This window comes from Homo sapiens, chromosome 22, assembly GCF_000001405.40.
Source record: "Homo sapiens chromosome 22, GRCh38.p14 Primary Assembly".
Classification (NCBI taxonomy): Eukaryota; Metazoa; Chordata; class Mammalia; order Primates; family Hominidae; genus Homo; species Homo sapiens.
Genome location: NC_000022.11, coordinates 20,128,830 through 20,148,007, shown reverse-complemented (window position 1 = coordinate 20,148,007; position 19,178 = coordinate 20,128,830). Strand labels below are relative to the sequence as shown.

The 19,178-nt window shown below is 63.3% G+C and overlaps 1 protein-coding gene across 3 annotated transcripts, besides 9 other annotated features; it reads right to left on the bottom strand.

Annotated features, from left to right (window-relative positions):
• Nucleotides 1-16,204, bottom strand: ZDHHC8 (zDHHC palmitoyltransferase 8). 3 transcript variants are annotated; one of them, XM_006724239.3, is made up of 12 exons: nucleotides 15,957-16,204; nucleotides 8,693-8,814; nucleotides 8,373-8,530; nucleotides 8,116-8,288; nucleotides 7,791-7,893; nucleotides 7,300-7,391; nucleotides 6,996-7,137; nucleotides 6,671-6,791; nucleotides 6,478-6,587; nucleotides 4,252-5,252; nucleotides 766-987; nucleotides 1-364 (listed from the first exon to the last, which is right to left on the bottom strand). In XM_006724239.3, exons 1-11 carry the CDS (start codon nucleotides 16,058-16,060, stop codon nucleotides 777-779), a joined length of 2,337 nt encoding a protein of 778 aa, XP_006724302.1. In that variant the 5' UTR covers nucleotides 16,061-16,204; the 3' UTR covers nucleotides 1-364; nucleotides 766-776. The 3 variants fall into 3 exon arrangements, with proteins under 3 accessions (XP_006724302.1, NP_037505.1, NP_001171953.1); NM_013373.4 differs by having other exon boundaries at nucleotides 1-2,779; NM_001185024.2 differs by having other exon boundaries at nucleotides 1-987.
• Nucleotides 772-841: a silencer, noted in NCBI's record as "silent region_13482". NCBI's record gives its function as "represses an Ori minimal core promoter by ATAC-STARR-seq in GM12878 lymphoblastoid cells {active_cell/tissue: GM12878}" and the evidence as "EXISTENCE:reporter gene assay evidence [ECO:0000049][PMID:35858748]".
• Nucleotides 882-1,001: a silencer, noted in NCBI's record as "silent region_13481". NCBI's record gives its function as "represses an Ori minimal core promoter by ATAC-STARR-seq in GM12878 lymphoblastoid cells {active_cell/tissue: GM12878}" and the evidence as "EXISTENCE:reporter gene assay evidence [ECO:0000049][PMID:35858748]".
• Nucleotides 9,825-10,424: an enhancer, noted in NCBI's record as "H3K4me1 hESC enhancer chr22:20125107-20125706 (GRCh37/hg19 assembly coordinates)". NCBI's record gives its function as "activates a minimal SCP1, AML or CMV promoter by ChIP-STARR-seq in primed H9 embryonic stem cells {active_cell/tissue: H9 hESC(primed)}" and the evidence as "EXISTENCE:reporter gene assay evidence [ECO:0000049][PMID:30033119]".
• Nucleotides 15,331-15,984: an enhancer, noted in NCBI's record as "H3K27ac-H3K4me1 hESC enhancer chr22:20119547-20120200 (GRCh37/hg19 assembly coordinates)". NCBI's record gives its function as "activates a minimal SCP1, AML or CMV promoter by ChIP-STARR-seq in naive H9 embryonic stem cells {active_cell/tissue: H9 hESC(naive)}" and the evidence as "EXISTENCE:reporter gene assay evidence [ECO:0000049][PMID:30033119]".
• Nucleotides 15,692-15,741: a silencer, noted in NCBI's record as "silent region_13480". NCBI's record gives its function as "represses an Ori minimal core promoter by ATAC-STARR-seq in GM12878 lymphoblastoid cells {active_cell/tissue: GM12878}" and the evidence as "EXISTENCE:reporter gene assay evidence [ECO:0000049][PMID:35858748]".
• Nucleotides 15,772-15,851: a silencer, noted in NCBI's record as "silent region_13479". NCBI's record gives its function as "represses an Ori minimal core promoter by ATAC-STARR-seq in GM12878 lymphoblastoid cells {active_cell/tissue: GM12878}" and the evidence as "EXISTENCE:reporter gene assay evidence [ECO:0000049][PMID:35858748]".
• Nucleotides 16,332-16,401: a silencer, noted in NCBI's record as "silent region_13478". NCBI's record gives its function as "represses an Ori minimal core promoter by ATAC-STARR-seq in GM12878 lymphoblastoid cells {active_cell/tissue: GM12878}" and the evidence as "EXISTENCE:reporter gene assay evidence [ECO:0000049][PMID:35858748]".
• Nucleotides 16,602-16,991: a silencer, noted in NCBI's record as "silent region_13477". NCBI's record gives its function as "represses an Ori minimal core promoter by ATAC-STARR-seq in GM12878 lymphoblastoid cells {active_cell/tissue: GM12878}" and the evidence as "EXISTENCE:reporter gene assay evidence [ECO:0000049][PMID:35858748]".
• Nucleotides 19,052-19,101: an enhancer, noted in NCBI's record as "active region_18671". NCBI's record gives its function as "activates an Ori minimal core promoter by ATAC-STARR-seq in GM12878 lymphoblastoid cells {active_cell/tissue: GM12878}" and the evidence as "EXISTENCE:reporter gene assay evidence [ECO:0000049][PMID:35858748]".

Here is a 19,178-nt window from a genome sequence, read left to right as displayed (position 1 = left end):
TGATCAACACCAAAAATTTTATTTGGGGAATTAATTAGCAGGGGTACCCTTAAGAACAATAGAGAATGGTTTTGTGGCTTTCTCGTCCCCAAATGGGAGATGTAGAGCCACAGCCCAGGGTGGACCCAGGGACAGGGACCCTGTGACGGAGAAGGGCTGGCCGGAGTGCCACCCTGCCGCAGGCCGTACCACTGCTGGAGGACACAGGGCTTGGGCCTCAGGCCCTCTGAGATCCCGCCGGCATCGTCTCTGGGTGCAGGCAGCCCCAGTGGGGCCCAGGCGGAGCTGGCCAAGACCACAGGACCTTGGTGGCAGGCAGAGGCCAATGGCTCACCAGGCTGGTGGCTCCAGGAAGTTAAGGCATCTGTTCATGTGTCAGGGGAAGGGCAGGAGGAGTGCAGAGACCTTCAGGGGCAACCTGAGACCCCCCCCCCACCCAGCCCAACCCACGGAGGCCTGGGCTCCCCGAGGAGGAAGTGGCTTAGTCTAAAGTGCTTGGTTGGGTAGGGAGGCTGGGCAAAGGTCGTGCCGGTCCCCACAGCTCTGGGACTGCCCCCCTGTGGGGTGCTGGACCCCCTGCAGCAGGTGGGGGACTCCCTGAGGTCATGTGGACACAGGGTCTCAGGCCCTGGCAGGCTGGGAATCTGTCAAGCTGTGGCTGGTGGAGCAGAGAGCCCAGCCCACCCCCAGCCCTGCCCCAGGGTCCACTGCAGTCTGACCTCCTGGGTCCCCAGCTGGGCTGTCCTGGGCCCCAGAGCCGCCTACTTGTCATCCTGCTAGGGCCCCGAGAGGCTGGGGAAAAGACTGGAGGCAGCCAAGTGCAGGCGGCACATGGCCCCGCGTGGGGGTGCCCCGGCGGCCTGGCTCCAGGGGGCCCGCAGTGGTGGGCGGTCCTCCGGGCGGCCAAGGTGGCACAGGTGCAGCCCAGGAGGCACCCAAGGCTGGCCACGCCGCCCCCATCCACGGGTGCAGGTGCCAATCCGCCCCCTGCGGGCCGCGGCGTCCGTGAGAGAGAAGCAGAAAGGTGGAGGTCAGCTTCGGGGCCCTACAGCCCGCACGCCTCCCACGCTGGGACAGCCCCAGCCCAGAATGTCTCAGCCCTGAACAGCTGTGCATCCCTCACACTCCCTCAGCCCTGCCCCTGGCATGTGGCAGGCAGGAGAGTTCCAGCAGGTTCAGCGGCCCCCACAGGGCCCTGAGCCAACAGGTGGCCCCTATGCACCCCCATTTCATCTCCCCAAGCTCTCGGGTTCCTGAGAGTCCCCTGTGGGTAGCGGCAGACCCAAGTCTTTCCCCCAAACACCCTGTCACTGCCAGAACTGACACAGACCCAAGGCGAGAGACCCTCACACTTCCCAGCCACAGACCATCGGCCGCCCCCTCTTCCCAAGCCTCTGACTCAGCCCAAGTCGGCAGAAATGCCCCTGAGGAACCCACCGACCCCTGCACACCAGACAGCAGCCACTCCCTCTTCTGGGGCCCGGCCCCTGCCCTCCCCTAACTCGGGATCCTGCAGCAATAGCCCTGGCCTTGCCCAAGGAAAGAATCAAAATAACTCTTTTTCTTTTTTTTAATAAAATTATAGATATATAGATGTAGATATAAAAACATAAAACAGACACAACGCAAGCAGACGCTGTCATGTGCTTACTCTCAGGTCCCTGACACCAAGGGAAGCACTGACCCCTCCCCAGTGTGCTTTCCCACGGCGCGAGCACCGCAGCCAGGCCGGGGCTGCGGACGTGGCATGCCTTGGGGTGGGGTTCTCCAGTTTGGCAGGGAGGGCCTGAGGGCTGGGGAGGGGGCTCTGGGTGTCACCAGCCCCCTGTGGCAGCATCACCCCCGTGCCTGCTCCCGCCTGCCCCCCCGTCGCCTCCCACAAGAGCATAAAGCAAAGGTTAAGGCTTTGATGAAAGGGACAGCGGCGGCCGGAGCACTGACACATCAGACACGGCGCGGCAGCACAGCACACAGACACGGGACACATGGAGCCGGGCCCCCGGCCACAGCTGGCTGGCTGGCCGTCTGTCCACCTATCCACCACCACCCAGAGCAGGCCAGGGCAGAAGCATCAGCCTTGCCAAGCTACAAGCTTCCAGCGGGGTCCGTGAAAGGCAACGCGTTAGTTAGGAGTAGCCTGGCGGGGGACACTCGGTCCGGGAGCCCACAGGCTGTGTCAGAAGGACGGTGGGGGCCCTGGGTGCCTCTGTCCATCTCTGGGACCTGTCCGTAAGGGGACCATTGGGGGCTGGCCTGGCGGTGATCTGGGGTGCTGGGTGATGGCAGTGGGCCAAGCCTGGCTGAGAGAGGGTGCCCCAAAGAGGCTGACTGGGCCCCCTCACTGCCCCAGCCATGGGACAGGCCCAGACACAGACCAGCCCAGTGGCCCTTGTCCCAGTGAGCCGACTTCCCCATGGGCAGATGAGTGGACGGGCAGGCAGAGCGCTTGGGGCAAGCTGTGGAGGCGTGGCACTCTCTCCCGCCGATGGGTCCACACCAGGCTGGGGTGGCCTCGGGTCCCTGGGGCAGAGAAGTTGGTGGGGAGGGGGGGTGCGCTGTGGGGTCCTGGTCCCCGTGGCACCATGGCGGATGTGTGGCAGTCAGTCCTCACACCGAGATCTCGTAGGTGGTCCCACCCACGCCGGACACCTTCTTAACCAGCGTGTGCCGTGTAGGGCTGGCAGAGGGCCCTGGGGGGCCGGTGGCAGGTCCCAGCCGGGCCAGGCCCGGGGACTGCCCATTAAGCTTACTTGGGGGAGTCTTCAGCTGAGGGTGGTCCCTGCATCAAAACAAGCACATACACACATGCACACGGTGAACACACGAACACGGGGACAGAGGACGGAGGAGGCAGCAAGACAGAGACGACGCGGACGTGGACTAGTGCAGCCGAGTTGTGGGGCCCCGTGCAGTCCCTGCCCTCTGGGCTTGGAGGGTTCACCTGGAAAGCAGGTGAGGGATGCAGAGCCTGCCTGGGGAGCAGCTGTGCTGTCACAGGACAGACAGATGTTGTCAGAACTGCCACCACCCTCCCGAGTCCCTGGGTCCCTCCTAGCCAGCACTGGCCACAGAGAGCATGGGGCAGCCAGGTGGGCACTGAATGGAGCCCCTGCCGTGCCCTGCACTGGGAGCCCAGCCACTCTGCCTGGCCTCATTCCTGCTCTCTCTCAGGAAAACGAGGGGCTGCCCTCCTGCCCACCAGCGCTGACCAACAGCAGCTGTATCTTTGCTACTTAAACCTTCTTGAGGCGAGAGCCCTTTGTCCCCGGGCTGCGATCCCTGCCTGGCTGCAATGCTGCCCACTTCTAGGTCTCGGGCTCCCCACTCATCACTCCCAGTGGCAGCCTCCTCCCCAACTCCACAAAAGCTGAACAGGTCCCACCCTGTGGGGTAGAGGAGACCCGCTCAGGGCTGGACTGCTGTGCCCTCAGCCCCTTTGTGGCCAAGTGGCCTGGGCTGGGCTGGGCTGGGCTCTCCCTCTGGGGCTGCATCTGCCGACGGGAAACAACTGCGCCTGTGCTTGAGGTTTCCAGGCCCGGACAGGGCGACAGATGCCGTGAGGACACCATGCGTCTGTGGCGTGGGTCCTGGCCCCAGCAGGTGTGCAGCTCTCCTACCTGGACCTGGGCCTGTGAGCCAGCTGACCCCGCCTTCTCAGTCACCAACCTGCCGGGTGCCTGGAGCCAGCCTGCTTTCTCCAGTCCTCAGCTTCCCCACCTACGAGCAGGGAAGCCCCTGCTTCCTAGAACTATGTCCTACAGGGAGGGCCAGGGCCCGGCCACTCAGGGTGGCACATTCTGCTGCTAGGTAATATCCTCAGCCCCAGCCTCCTAGAGATGCAGCCAAGCAGGCCCAGGGAGAGCCCTGGGTGGACAGGGCCACTGTGACCCAGGAAGCCAGAGCCACAGCCTAAAGGAGGCCCAGGCTGCCACATGATACTGGCCCCAAAGAGAAAGCCCCATGGCCTCCCACATGCTGGGTCTGTGCCAGCTCTAGAAGAACGAGTCGTCGGGCTCAGGACACAAATTCTCATACCCTGTCCCCAGAGCGTGCCCAGGACATCCTCAGAGCTGGGCCACACGGGCTAGCCAAGGCCTTCAAGGCAGGGTGAGGCGCATCCTCCCTGTCCCGTCCCCAGAGAAAAACTCAGGCCCCTGGGATGACCTATGAGTGCCCAGCCAAGAGGGGCCCTGGAGACGGCTGGACAGCTGCCCTGTGCCAGGAAGCCCACCCGCACCTCCCGGCACCCACCTCTGCACGGTCAGCGAGGGCGGTGGCTCTGGGAGGTCCGTGTGGATGAAGGCGACAGCTTTGGGGCCCGCGTAGGATGGTGAGTGGGGAGTGCCGGGCGGGGAGGGCAGGCCCTGGCGTGCAGGTGACCTGTGTGAGCCACTGCTGGGCCGGGGCCCCGGGGCGTTGCTGCTGGCCTGATCAGCCTGCAGGGAGGAGGACGACGTCCGCGGTGCACGGCTCACGGAGCTGGACAGCGAGGACAGTGACGTCTGCAGGGCAGGGTTGCGGGCGCCACCGAAGCCGGGCCCAGCCACAAGGTCGTCTCTGGAGCCATAGCGCAGCGCGGGACCTCGGGGGCCCTCGGACAGCACACTGGCCTGCTGCAGGCTGTAGGAGCTGGGAGCGTCATAGACGCCTGAGTCGCCGAAGAGTGAGTCGGCCTGGGAGCGCAGCAGGCGCTCACGCTCCTCCCTGTCCTTGCGCTCCTGGATGGATGCCATGATGGTCCTGGACAGGTTGTCGTAGCGCACAGGCGAGGGCTCCCGGGGGCGGGGGCCCAGCACGGGGCTGAAGCTGCGGGGTAGGGGCCGTGGCGGGTCGCCCGTTGCCCCAGGATGCAGGTAGGGTGAGTGGTATCCGGCCACGCCAACTGCTGGGTGGGCAGGGCAGGCGTGGCCACCAGGCGAGCCAGGATTGAGCAGGCTGTCATAGGACAGGCTGCCGTTGCGGTTGGGCAGTGCATGGGGGGCAAAAATGCTACGGTGGGGCGTGGGGGGCCCCCCCTCAGAGCGCAGGGGCTGCAGGGCCACATGATCCCCGCCCCGCCGGCTCGAGGCCTTGAGGCTCAGGGAGCGCAAAGCGCCCGAGAAGGCATCAGAGGCGCTGAGCGGTGGGGATGGCGGGTAGGCTGCATGCAGGCCCCCTGGCCCATAGTCAGGGAGGTCCAGGCTCGGCTCGGACACAAAGTCCAGGCTACGGATGCTGTCGTCCCCCAGGGTCAGGGAATCAGGGCCTGGAACCTGTAGGGAGAAGGCATTCTCACCACTGCCCACCTGCCACCCCGCCTGCAGCCGCCAGTCAGCACCCACGGGGGCCACACATGGCACCGTGGCCTCAGGAACTGGGCCTCAAGGAGCCATAAGAGCCACATAGTGACCCATGGCCCTGTCCCTGAGCATCCACGGCTGAGGGGCAGGGGCTCTGCAACAGGAGGGAGGCCACAGCTGGCTACTGCAGACACCTGGGGTTCTGCCCTTGGAGCCATGCAGCCCCAGGGGCCCACCACTCAGGGCAGCCAGAGGGAGGAGGAGCCTCGTCTAGCCCCTGTGACGGGCACATAGGCATGGGCTTGGGCTTGGGCTTGGGACAAGAGCCTCAGGAACCACAAAGCCAGAAGTGGATCAGGGCAAATGTGGGCTCAATGCACTTGGCCAACCAGACCCAATCCCCCACTGGACCCAGGAGTCCCAGGAAGATGACATACCCAGAGCCCTCATCTCCAAACAGGGATGCCTCCTCCTGCGAGGCACGGCCCCTACATGCCTGCAGACTCAGACCCTTGGCCAAGGAGGCTCAGACTCACTGCTTCACCCAGTGACTCTCTCCAGGAAAGACATCAGTCCTGAGGGGAGAGGTCCCTGGGGATGGGGCTGGTCTAGGTGCACAGGGCCCAGTCACAGGCCTGCCTCTCGGGGTGGCCCAGAAGGAAGGATGGCACCCTGGGACTGTTTGGTGTTCCTGATCACTGCACAGACCGCCCCGCACTGCCCACCATTCCAGTGACCACAGAGCACTCATGCAACTCAGGGAAGAGAAATGTGCTTTCTCAAGCACGTCTCAAATTCTTCCAAAGTCTTCCCGTGGGCCTTACAGAGTGACTAATGGTGGAATTCCAGGCATCCTGGTACACAGTGCTCCTGGGGGCAGCCGCCCACCTGGCCTAGGGCAATGCTGGCCAAGGGACAGACGCCAAGCCTGGATGGCCCACGCCAGCCCCTCCCAGGACACCCTGCTCCCCTCTGTGGGTCCCAGCTCTGGGTGCACACAGACAGGGTCCTACCAGTCACACAAGGCCCTTGGTGACCCAGGCAGAGCCCTGAGGGGCATGGCCTCAGGGGATGTGGCCTCTGCTGGAGAGATGGGGCTCTGGAGGTGGGGCCTTCACGGGGTGAAGGCTGTGGGGCGAGCTCCTAGAGGCGGGCCTGGGGGACGAGGCCTGCCAGGGGGCAGGCTAGGCCTCCTTACCTGCTCGCCTGGTCCACAGAAGGGCACCTTGGGACCCGTGGGGAAAGCCGGCCTAAACTTGTACATGGCAGGTGTCGGGGGGCTGGTCCTCTGCACCGACAGGGCACTCTCTGGGGATGCAGACCACTGTCAGACTGAGGTCAGAGGAGGGTCAACCCATATCCCTCCCTAGTCGTGGCTGCCCCAACCTCACCAGCACTGCCTGGGCGCGGGGTCTGCAGGTCACTGCTGAACGTGCCAGCCTCTATCTTGGGGGGCAGTGGTGGCCCCAAGTCCAGTGGCTTCTCATCCAGCCGGTCCAGGCTGCCCTTGGACTGGGAGGGAGCGGGGTCAGTGGTGTGTGGGGCTTGGATGAGGGGCAGGGCTTCACTAGGGATTCAGCCTGGGACCTAGCCCCCTCCCAAGAATCTGTCTACGGCTCTGTCTGCCCCATCCACCTCTTCTAGGCCCCCACCAACCTGCCTGTTTCCCCATCCAAGGGCCTGACTGCCAGCCCATCCCTAAGCCCAGGCGCCCACCTTGCTACGGCCCAGGCCAGCCTTCAGCCCGTTGTCACTAAGCTTGACCTTGAGCGGTGCAGCTCGGTCCAGGAGTTCAGGCCTAAGGAAAGGCGGCTTCAAACTCACCGCGAGCGGCAGCCGGGGTGGCTCCACCACGTACCTGCACCAGGGCACAGGGGTCAGTAGCCAGCCCACCTGCCACAAACACACAAGGGCAGGGCTGGCCATACCTGGCAAGAGCCAAACGGACCAAGAGGGTCTAAGGCTGCCCGCCCCACACCCAGCAGAGGCCCCCCTCCACCCTGCCCAGGCCGGGCCTCACCGGGGCGCCAGGGGGCTACACAGCACGTGCTCCACATTCCCACAGCAGCCTCGGGTGAAAGGGTTCACACCCCCGCGGAACTTCCCAGTCACCTGTGGATGCAGGACCCTCAGCCAGCCTGGCCTCCCAAGGTCCAGGCCAGGGTGGGCAGGGGGCTGGGCAAGGGAGCTGGGGTTCCTTAGAAGCTGATACTTGCGGGAAGTGGCTTAGGTGGGATCAGCCCAGGGCTGCCCCTCACATAGGTTACCCAGCCTGAACTTGCAGGGAGCTGTGGGATTTCTGGGTCACTGGTGGCCACAGTGTCCACAGGCAGGATGTGCGCAGGGGACGGGGCAGGCGTAGCCCCACGTGGGGGTCTCAGAGTTGGAGCCTCGTCTCAACACAGCTGCACAAGCTACCTCAGGCAAGGGTGCCCCAGCCCCCACCCTGTCCCCATGCAGCCCCAACTCTCTCGGCCCTTTGGGGCCACCCATCCCCCATGGGGTCTGCACCTGCTCGTTGGTGGTGCGCCCCCGAGTGACCAGCACCACATGGAAGCCAGTGAGGCCAATGACAGGGATGAAGAAGAGGCCGGCCACACACATGACAGCCATGCTAGCCCGTTAAGGCCAACGGTGCAGGCCAGGACACCGCAGACCCCATCGCAGCAGCACAGAGCAGGTGCCTGTGGACAAACCTCCTCCCAACCTAGGGACGGCCACCTGCCCACTGGGGATCCCTGGGCAGGAACCAAGCCTTCTGAGGCTCAATCTCCCTGGTGAACGTGTCCCCGGTCCACATCGCCTCTGCAATGAGGCCCACAGGAACCAAGGATACGTGATGGTGGTGTGCGCGGCTCCCAGCCCCTCAGCGTGGTTCAGCACGTAGACCAGGCCGAAGGCCACGACGCCCACCATGTGTGCACTGAGTGACAGCAGGAACAGGAAGAAGTAGCGATAGTTTCGACGCCCGATGCAGTTGTTGACCCAGGGGCAGTGGTGGTCAAAGTCCTGGGCGGGAGCAGTGCATCAGGGCACATGGCAGGCAGGGATGTGGCACAGGGCTGGGGGAGCGCGGGGCAGCAGGGCGGTCACCTCTACACAGTTGTCACAGACGCTGCAGTGGGAGCAGCGCGGCGGGCGGTAGAAGTGGCACGTGGCACACCACTTCATGCGGACCTGGATACCTCGCACATCCACGTTCTTGTACAGCGGAGCCCGGAAGTCGTCCTCCTTGTCCTCATCCTCATCCGCTACAGACCAGGAGCCAGGCAGTGAGCAGGAAGTTGACTTTCCTGGCAGGTGAATCCCTCCCCCAAGTCCAGCCCACCCACCAGGAATCCCTAAGGCTGTCTCAAGTTAGCCACTCACACTCTAGTGAAAGTGAGAGGAGCTGCCGCAGCACAGGGCCCTACCTCGGGGGAAAACACCAGGGTCCATGAAAGTGGCCATGCTGAAGTTGGCCAGGACAAAGAGGAAGATGATGCCATTGTAGACGGGAACAGCTGGGGACACAGCTCGTGTCAACCACGGGCACCTGCAGTAGACAGTGGGGGCAGAGAGTGGAGTCTGGGGGTGCAGAGCGGATGCAGGCGCAGAGCTATGTGGTGCGGCAGGCTGGGCCTGCAAGGTCACCCTCAGAGCTCAGAGGCAGTGGGGAGGCTGCCACAGCCCTGCCAAGAAACCTCAGCCACATCGCTCCTTCGAGTAACGGCCAGAGGCTGTGCGTATCAGTACAGCATGTGGGCTACCCGTGCCCTGACCCGGCAACCTCTCAGGGCAGCCGTCTCAGAGAGGCCCACAGACCTAAGGTCACCCCATTCCAGCGACCTAGGCTCCATGACTGGGGCGGGGTAGGGGGCGGGGGCGGTACACAGGCTGGAGGTGGGAGCCCCAGATGGAAAATGCGCCACGATGCCTCATCCAGGCCTGTCCCTGGCCCAGTGGGGCCTCTCACCAGGCAGATTCTGGGGTGTGGGGAGCCCCAGTCCTTGGTCAGTAAGTGCATGGGGCATGTCTCCCCTACTCTTCCCAGTCAGGCACATCCCCATCCAGACAGCCCCTTCTTTTTAGTTTGTCACCTCCCTCCCCAGATGACAAAGTAGAACACTTAGGGACTCTAGAATGCACAACACCCCCCACCACTTCCCATCTTCCCAGCCATCAGCACTTGGCTCCAAGGCCACCCCCTCTTCCGGGAAGCTTTCCAGGACTCCAGGCTGCCCTCTGCAGCTTCCCTATAAGGTGTGCCCTCACACACCTTCCTGAAAGGCGCCTTCCTCAGCCCTTAACGGGCCTGGCCCGAGTCCCCTCTGAAGAGACTTGCCGGTCCTCGGGCCACACGGCCTGCAGCGGGTTCCTAAATCCACCCACTCAGCTTCCAAGAAGCCCCTCTGGCCTCAGGCTCCTTGTCTCTCCCCTGCGCACCCTGAGACAGCTGCTGTGACAAGCAGCAGGGACAGGAACACAGGGGTTTGCGTCCCTCCCTGCACCCAGGCCCTCTGCATAGTCGGGGGGCTAGTGGGGATCCCCCACAGCAGCCCTGACCTCTATGGCCACTAGCAGTGGATGGGGCCCACGCGCTGCCTACCACTCCAGCGCACGTGGCCACGCTGCTGCACCCACGCCCGCCTGGCCAAGAGCCAGCCCCGCCGCCCCGGCAACCACCTCCACGGCAGCAGAGCTTCACTATTTTTAGTGGAAAGCAAGAGGCTATTTAAAGACTCCGCTTCCCACGACAGCCATCCTCGGCGGGGCTGGGAGCCCAAGTTACCCTTCCTCTTGTCCAGGGCCCAGCCCGTGGAGGTAGACACCAGGGTGAGGACACAGCTGCGGCCACACCTCCCTCTGCTGGGAGGGCTCTCCCTGTCCCTGCCCAGTGGCTCAGCCCCCAGGCTTCCTTCCACCCTCCCCAGCCCTGCCTGGCACACAGGCAGCACTCAAACATGTGCCTGGCCTCCAATGCAACGCCATTCAGCCAGGACCACAGGCCCCTAAGGCAGGGTCGGCCCAACAAGATGGGCACAGGCAGGTGAGCAGCTCCCCCAGGGAGAGGCAGGGCCTGTGGAGCTCTCCACGAGCCTTCTGGGGAAGGCTGGCTACATAGTCTGTGCAAAATGAAACTGCGGGCCCCTTATTTAAAAATTACAGAGAATTTCAAGATGTTGACAGCGGAGCATTAAACCAAACGCAGGCCCTCATGATGCCCGTGGGGCTGGCCTGCTCTGGGAAGGGATGCGGCGAGTGCCATTGGTCAACCCTCGGGCTGCAAGGAGGCAGCCTCTGTCCTCCCAGTGCTGACCTCAGGATGGAAGCCTCGGGGCCCCTCTGCACCTGCGCTGGCTGCCAGCCTGCCTCCTGGCCCTAACGGGGGCCTTGGGGGTGTGTTCGCCCATCAGGCAGGCGGGGCCTGAACCCCATGCTGACTTGAGCTCCCTGCCAGCCCAAGCAGGCGGTACTGCTGTGTCCTCCCTGAGCCTGGACTCCCCCACACCAGGCGGGCTGGACAGCAGCCTTGCAGCCGTGGGGCTACTTTGGGAAATCTGCAGTGTGACCGGGTCCCTCCTGCCCAGTGCGGGTACCTGCCACATGCCTGTGAGGGCCCATATGGGCCCTAATCCAGGGGTTGGGGAGGCTTGTTGTGGGTTCTCTGACTGGGACCTGAGCTGCTGCCCACTCCTCCAGTCCTCCAGAGTGAGGCAACTGTCCTCTCTGTAGTCCCCAAGGTCAGATCCTGCCTAACAGGGACCAGCTCACAGGCCAACCCACCAGGGCCCAGAGCTCTCAGGGCTCAGTGGGAGAGAAGATGAGGAGCACACGCAGGCACCTACAGACACGTGTGAAGACATGGACACACACACAAACATGCTCCAGGGCACATGTGCATGGGTATGTGTGCACACACACAAATATACAGGCATGTACACACATAAACACACAGACAACCTGTTCTGGTGCACAGAAGGCACACATGCACACATGCAATCATGTCTGCATACAAAACACATATACATGCATGAACACTTGCATGCAGACATGCACACGTGCACACACTGGTGCACATGCATGAACGCAGACACGCCTGCACATCACTCACCCACCAAGACCTATGTGTGAACACGCGTGAACACAGGCATGCATAGACACATGCCTCCTCACACTGCACCCAGCCCTATCCAGCCTCGGCTCGGCTGCCCCTCACTCTGGGCCTCAGACACGGCCCTCCCACTCTCTGGGCTTCCCTTTGCCCCTCTGTGGATAGGGCAAGTGTGAGGACACACAAGCACTCTCAGGGTGCGCAAGAACACGGGAGGACACACAAGGACATGCAAGGATGCATGAGGACACATGGGGACAGGGGAGGCCATGTGTGGATGCTCAGGGACACTCAAAGACACGCATTCCCACAGGCAGGGCCTAGCAGGCAGTAGTCTGGGTCCAGGCTCGGGGAGGCTCCACTCCCACCCAGACCTGATGGTGCACACCAGGCTCGCCTGCCGGAGGGCCAGGCAAAGACAGGCTCTGGGCCTGGGCTGGAGGTGGAGTGTCTGGCCCGCCATGTCCCTCTGAGCCCCTCCTGGCTGGCTCCAGCCAAGCTACGGGTGGAGGGCAGGTCCAGGGGGCCCAGCCCCGAGGTTCCAATCCCTCCTCCAGGGCCACAGGCAGGGACATGCACCACCACCATAGGCCCCACCCGGGCTGAGGCCCCAAGTCCCGCCTGGGCTGGCAGGGAGATACCGCCGAGCAAGAGGGGTGGCTTAGGGGCAGAATGTCCGCCACAGCTAAATGTGGAATGGAAAATTTTAACTCAGACGTTTTCATTTAAATCAGGTTCTTCATTAGCACTGTTTGTGTATGAGTGGCACTCGCCCGTGGGGCGCTCGGGACCGGCGGGGCAGAAGCTGCTGCGCCCTTGTCAGGCCAGGCCTTTGGGCCTCGAAGTACCTGCACCTACCTGTCCAATCCCTATAGACACCTGGACAGATGGGGAAACTGAGGCTCGGGGGCCAGGAATACCCCAGGCCACATGCGGTGGGTCCCAGCAGGGGGGCTCACACTGAGTTTTCACTCCCAGGTTCCCCAGACTCATGAGGTCCCAGTCAGCAGTTCAGTCCCTCCTGGCCCACCAAGGCTAGTCTGGCCCAGGGCCTGTTCTGACTGCTGTCCTGAGCTGGGCCTCCAGGCAAGGAGAGGGCTCAGGACGATCTAGGGACCAGCCACACCATCCCAGATGCCCCAGACAGAGATAAGCCAGCCTGGCTCAGCCCCAGGCACTGGCAGCCTGCCAGGCAGCCCCAGCCCTCGGACATTCACAGGGTCCCTGTCATTCTGCAATGTGGCTCTGGAGTGAAGTCAGGGCAGGGTCGGGAGCCTGGCCTAGGGGTCTTCGAACCCTCTGCCAGCAGCTGACCCAGCCTAGCATTATACCATGGTATAAAGGGCTTCTGAAGCCCAGGGGGATACAAAACCCCCAGAAACATAGGAAGGGGCCGGGAGCAGTGATCACACATGTAATCCCAGCACTTTGGGAGGCTAAGGCTGGCAGATCACCTGAGCTCAGGAGAATAGCCTGGGCAACATAGCGAGACCCCATCTCTACTAAAAAAAAACAAAAAAACAAAAAATAAATAAATTAGCCAGGTGTGAGGGTGCCCACCTGTCATCCCAGGTACTCAGGAGGCTGAGGTGGGATGATCACTTGCGCCCAGGAGGTCGAGACTGCAGTGAGCCGAGGTAGCACCACTGCACTCTGGCCTGGGTGACAGAGTGAGACCCTGTCTCAAACAAACAAACAACAACAAAATCCTAGGAAGGCTTCCTGAAGGAAGAGGGCCTCTGAGAAACTGCCCTGCTGTATGTGCCCCATCCTGAGAGGGTGCTCTTCACAACTGGGCATCCTTCCATGCCCAGACCCTCCTAGAGAGATGTGTGAATGTCCTGCTGGTCCCAAGACCCTTGGCGATCTGGCTGAGGGAGGGGTCCCTGGTTCTCAGGCCTCCAGCTCCCCACACCACATGACACCCAGAACTCCTGCCCACCTGGTGCATGGGTGAAGCCACCCCACCGGCAGCAACTCATGTTTACTGAGTGCAGAGAGGGGGCTGGGGCCACTCACTGTCTGGTAACGTCCGAGGAGCAAACAGTGAAGTCGGGAACCCTGTATAGGCACTAAGGGCAGGGATTCGGGGCACAAGAGCAACCTGCTCCCCTTCCTGTGTGCCTGGACCAGATACAGGGCAGGAGGTGGGGCAACGGGTAGACAAGTGGCCTGCCCCAAGAAGGGGGCCGCCTGGACCCCTGCCTACCCAGAATCAGCACAGCTGCTATGGGTGGCATCAATGGGCCAGCCGACCCAACAGAACCCCTTCTCAGGAACTGAGCAGTCTCGGAGGAGTTCAGCAGAGGCGGGGCGGGTCGGGGAAGAGGCCAGGATCACTGACAGCCATTCAGCCCAGGGGTGTGGCCTCACCTGCCCTGAGGGGGCAAGCAGGGCTTCTTAGCCTTGCTAGGTGGCCACTGCACATCAAACCCAGGTGAGCACCCAGGCCACCATCCTGCTACAGGGACACATGGCATCTTCTCCCAGGAGCAGGGCCGGCAGAGGTCAGCATAGGCCAGGTGTAGGGTTGGGTGCAGGCATGGCCTGCACTGCCCCAGGAGGGAACCCCATACCTCAAGACTGCTGGTGTCGCCGAAACCAGAACCCCAGAACAGAGGAGGGGAAACTGGTGCTCAGCAGAGTGGGAGCCACCCAAGCACTCCATGCCTAGGGCTGGGTCAGGTTCACAGTCAGAGTCACGTAAAGGGCCCTCTGACATCACGCGTGAGGGAACCAGCAGCTGCAGCCACCACACAGCCAGGCTGCAGACGCGGCGCCAGGAACAGAGGAGCCCTCCAAGGAGGACAGGAGATGGGGGGTGTGTGGGGTTGATTTTAATTTCTTAGCATTTTTTTTTTCTGTATTTCACAAGTTCCCCATAAAGAACATACTTTTTTTTTTTTTTTTTTTGAGACAGAGTCTTGCTCTGTCACCCAGGCTGGAGTGCAGTGGTGCGATTTCGGCTCACTCCGCCTTACGGGTTCAAGTGATTTTCCTGCTTCAGTCTCCTGTGTAGCTGGGATTACAGGTGCCCACCACCACGCCTGGCTAGTTTTTGTACTTTTAGTAGAGACGGGGTTTCGCCATGTTGGCCAGGCTGGTCTCAAACTCCTGACCTCAGGTGATCTGCCCACCTTGGCCTCCCAAAGTGCTGGGATTACAGGCATGAGCCACCGCGCCCGGCCCACACATTACTTTTAAAGTCATGAGAAAGGACACTGAATTGCATGGACAGAGTAAGGAACCAAGCCAGACCCCCCGCCCAAGGACAGAGGCCCTGGGGACCAGCACTGGGCTGGGCCCACCCCTCCAGAAGCCTTGGTGGGATGTGTCCCCCCAGGCCAGGCTCCCCAGGCTGCCCCCCACCCACCTCTCTCTGCCCCACACCAGCAGCAACTAAGTGACAAGAACACACTGGCTTGCCCGAGCCAGAAATAAGCCCGTCCACACAGGCCTTTTTTAAACATGCTCTTGGCAGCCTGCGGTGCCCACCCAGCCCCAGCCTGCAGGTAACTCTCTCGCCTCCACGGGCACCCGATTCAGCCTTGCGATGCACGTGGGGGCCCCCCAAACTCTTGCAAAGGTGACGAGCGCCAGGCAGCCCCTACCTGCCCCTCTCCAGGCTCACATGCTCAGGGGTGGCCCCACCTTGGAACAGGTGGCCATCGTTCGTGCCACCTGGGCTATGTCTCAACCCCAGATTGGTGGAAGGGGGGTGGGTGGTTGAAGATCTGTGCAACCGAAGCCTGGAGCCCCCAACCCTCCTTGTGCCTGAAGGAGCCCTGGGGTGACCCCACAGCCACAGAGGGAGGCTGTGCTGTCCGCATGCCTCTCTGGTCCTAAGCCAGCCTGTATCTTGGGTGAAGAAGTTGAGGCTGGAGGGGCCCAGTGTCCTGCAGGCGCGGGCTCTCACTCCCAGAAACAGGACCTCAAGGGTCCTGGTGTGCACCATGGCCAGCCCACGGAGGTGATGTGCTAACATCGGGCCCTGGGTGTGGCCTGGCCTGGGCCCTCCAGCTGTGATGACCACTGGGTCTTCCTGAGAAGGAGGCCAAGGGCCAGGCCCGGGTCACCAGTGGCTGTGGGGCAGGCACGTGGCAACGAGGCCAGGCCACACCTACGTGGGAACAACTTGACTCTGGCCCGGGGCGGGCAGCCAGGAGGAGACCCGAGAGGCACCCACGGCCACCTGCAGAGAAGACTCATGGTTGTGGGTGGCCCACGTCCCCTCGGGGGTCCCATGGGGAGGGAAGGGCTGCAGCCACACCCAGGGCAGCCCGGCCTCCTCCCCTGCCAGGGCCCAGCGCTCCCCGCCAGGGCCTGCCTGGACACTCCCGAGGTGCCCAGCCCGCACTGGTGTCCCCACACAAGGGACTCACCCCGGTGCCCGGGACGCCGGCACACCGCTTCAACTCCCCCAGCCCCAGCGGGTGGAGAGGGACTGCCATCGCCTGCAGCCGGCGCCCCGCCCGCCCACTGCCCGGGGCCCCGCCAGCCCCCGCGACCGCTGCCCCCGTGCCCGGGCTGTGCGGGCCCTGCCCATCGCTGCCCGCGTGCCCCCAGACGCGGCGCCGACTCACGTGAACACGAAGAAGAGGGTGCTGGAGCCGACCAGCAGCGCGGCGGCCGTGGCCACCGGGATGTACTTGGCGGGTTTGAGGCGCGTCCCGGGGCTGCGGGGCATCCTGGGCGCCGCGCCGCCGCATCCCTCCCCGGGGCCGGGCGGGCAGGGCCGGCCGGGGTCGGGCCGGGGTCGGGCGGGCGGGCTGGACGCGGCGCAGGACCCGCGGCGGCGGCGGCGGCGGCGGCGGAGGAAATCCCACCCCACGGGCGGCGGCGGCTGCTGCGCTCTTATGTCAGCGCGCCCCTTAAGGTGGACCGGGCGCTGGGGGCCGCGGCGGGGCGGGACCGGGCGGGGCGAGTTGATGGGGCCCGGGGACCGCCACCGGTTCGCGGGACCTTCGGAGGGGGCAGGACCCCGCGGCCTCGGGGACCCCAGCCCGGCGGGCGCCCGCGGCTCTCGGGGGCCGGGCACCCACGCACCCCTGCGGCCCGGGTGGTGGGCACCACGGCGAAGGCCAGGCCCCCCTGGTCCCGGGCCGCGGAGCCGTGCAGGTGGCCTCGGGGGCGTCTGTGGGCGCAGCCCTTTCCCTAACGACCCCTCTGGTCTGAAGCCCCTTGGAATTCACGAGGGGGCGCGGGTGTGACACCGCAGCGGCGTCGTGGCTGTTTGCCTTCTGACCGCCTCGCAGCCCTCCCTCGGGCCACTGGGCTGGAGGAGCCCGGCCAGCGGGCGCCGGGCCCTCCACGTCCTGGCCCGAGCTGCAGGCTTGAGAGACGGTCGGCTGGAGCCCCCATCCTCCCCGAGGCGGGGCCCTTTGGGAAGCCCGGCGCCCCGGCCCTGCCCGATAGGCCCGGCGCGTCTCCTCCCGCAGGAAATCCCACCCGCCCCGCCGCCGCTTAAGGTGGACCGGGCCGGGGCCGACGGCGCTGTGGGCGGGGTGGGGCGGGGCCTCGTGTGGGTCCCCCCCCCAGACACACACACGCCGGCAGAGGAGGCGGTGCCAGCGGGAGACCCTCAGTCAAGCTCCGGAGCGTCCCCAGTGAGGGTCATTGTCCTCGGCCACGCCAACATGCCCCGAGCGTCCCCTGTTCTGAAGCCCAGACCCATTAGACCCCTCCCTAGGTGGAGATCTGTGGGGGGACCTCACCCATCGCCCCCAGCCCTGAGTGTCTGCTCCTCTGCAACCAGAACCCCGAGCGGCCCTACCCTGCGGCACAGGCATGAGGCTCCTTGGCCTGCAGGCCCCTGCTCCCCTGGGGAAGCACCCGGCCGCAGCTCCTCAGGGTGGGCAGGCCAGGGTTGTGGCTATTGGAAGGAGGAACCCAGGACTGGGGCCGGGACCCAGCCCTTAATGCAACTAACTACTGCACAGCAGAAATGGTGATGGGCTTTCTCCCAGGCAGCCGTAGTGGTAAGCTCTGTTCTCAGGGTGCCCTGCTCCAGGAGGTGCAGCCTGGAGCGCTCCCAAGCACTGATGGTAGCTCTGAGGCAGTGGAGGGGTCTCAGGGCACAATGGTGAGCCTAGAGCAGACACCACTGGAGCAGATGGCTCGTTACCTGGGCTCTGCAGTGGCCACAAGTGAGCCTCTCAGTTGGCAACACACCTGCCACCTGGTGCCCATCTCCAGCCTTGCCCTTGCTCCTACCTTCCCCCATGAAGTGCCTCCTCTAGTGGCACATGCCACAGAGCCCCTCAGGATCCAGGTCTGACTCCATGCCCATGCTCTGTGCAGGGTGCCAGGACTGTCACCTTCCTCCACCAGCTGAACCCTGGAGTAAACTGCCAAATGCTGACAGTGGGAAGAAGCGGAATCAGGCCTACTTGGTGAGATCCCTTTTCCCTTGAGTTTTTAACACAGGGTTTCACTCTGCCACCCAGGCTGGAGTGCAGTGGTGCAATCATGGCTCACTGAAGCCTCAACCTCCAGGGTTCAAGTGATCCTCCTGCCTCAGCTTCCCAAGTAGCTGGGACCACAGACGTGCACCACCATGCCAGGCTATTTTTTTTATATTTTTTTGTAGAGATAGGGTCTCTCACTATGTTGCCCAAGCTGGCCTTGAACTCCTGGCCTGAAGTGATCCTCCCACGTTTGCCTCCCAAAGTGCTGGGGTGACAGGTGTCAACCATTGCATCTGGCCTTGGGATCCCTTTTCCTTAACACAGAGGCCTGGGCAGAGGGGTCCCAAGTAGTGCAGACCCACTACTGGAGACAGAGAACCAAGCGAGGTTGGCACCGGCCTCCCCACCCAACATGGCTGCCAAGCCCATGGCCTAGTTTCCTCCTCAAGAAGAGCTAAGATCCCAGGGAAAAGGAAAATGAAGCAGAAAGCAGGAGGCTCCCCAGCCTGCAGCCCGGCAGACAGACATGGGATGGAAGGCTGAAGCACACTGCATTCTCACACAGTCCCCAGCACCGGCAGGACCCCATTCTGCTCACCATTGTCTGCCAAAGGGAAGCCAATGGAAACACACTGGGCTGGACGGCTGGCCCGAGTGCCCACATGGGCGTCCTTGTATAGCCTACCCTGTGGTCCCGTGGGGCCAGCACGCGGACGCATTCTGTCTCCCAGCACAGCTCCCTTCCCGCAGCACCATCGCATCCTGCAGTGTCAACAAGCTGCATCCTCAAATGCACCCTGCAACACAGCCCCACCACAGGATGGCACTGTCTCCCAGCCATTCCGAGGGGCCTTCTCACTGCTGGGGACTCTCCCTTGGAGACATTTCTCCCATCCCCAGATGAAGGAAGTCAGCCTGGAATTTTATTGGAACCCCAAATCAAATACAGAATGCTAAACATCCTTTCTGTGCTGGGGGGTGCCTGTCCTAGCCAAGGGCTTCTCTCCTGGAAGCTCCAGCCAGTGCAAGGGGCCCTCCCTTTCACAGACATCAAAGCCTCCAACTGACACCTGTACCCGACCTGGGGCCCCGGGTGTCACCAAGAGTGCAGCACAGCAAGGCACCATCTGCAGTGGACGGCGTCACCCTCCCAACACGAGGACCTCACTCGGCACAGGGCATAGGGCACAGGCTTCACCTCTTCTTGGGTGCAAAGTGCACCACTGTCCCCCTGCCAACCTGCTGGAGGCAAGCAGTCCATGAGCATGAGGGCCACAGCTCACAGAACACAGTCAAGATGCCAGTGAGGAGTCATCAGTTGGGCTTTTTCTAGAGCAAAGACCATACCTTCAGGGACCATTTCCATAGTTCATTACCAAAGACGTTTCTCTGAACATG

Coding starts and splice junctions, on each gene's coding strand:
- ZDHHC8 (NM_001185024.2), bottom strand. CDS start 16,060: ATGCCCCGCAGCCCCGGGACGCGCCTCAAACCCGCCAAGTACATCCCG. Junction 7,894..8,115: donor GCCGCGCACACCACCATCAC/GTATCCTTGGTT, acceptor TTAACGGGCTAG/CATGGCTGTCATGTGTGTGG. Junction 988..4,251: donor CCCTCGCTGACCGTGCAGAG/GTGGGTGCCGGG, acceptor CGCGGCCCGCAG/GGGGCGGATTGGCACCTGCA.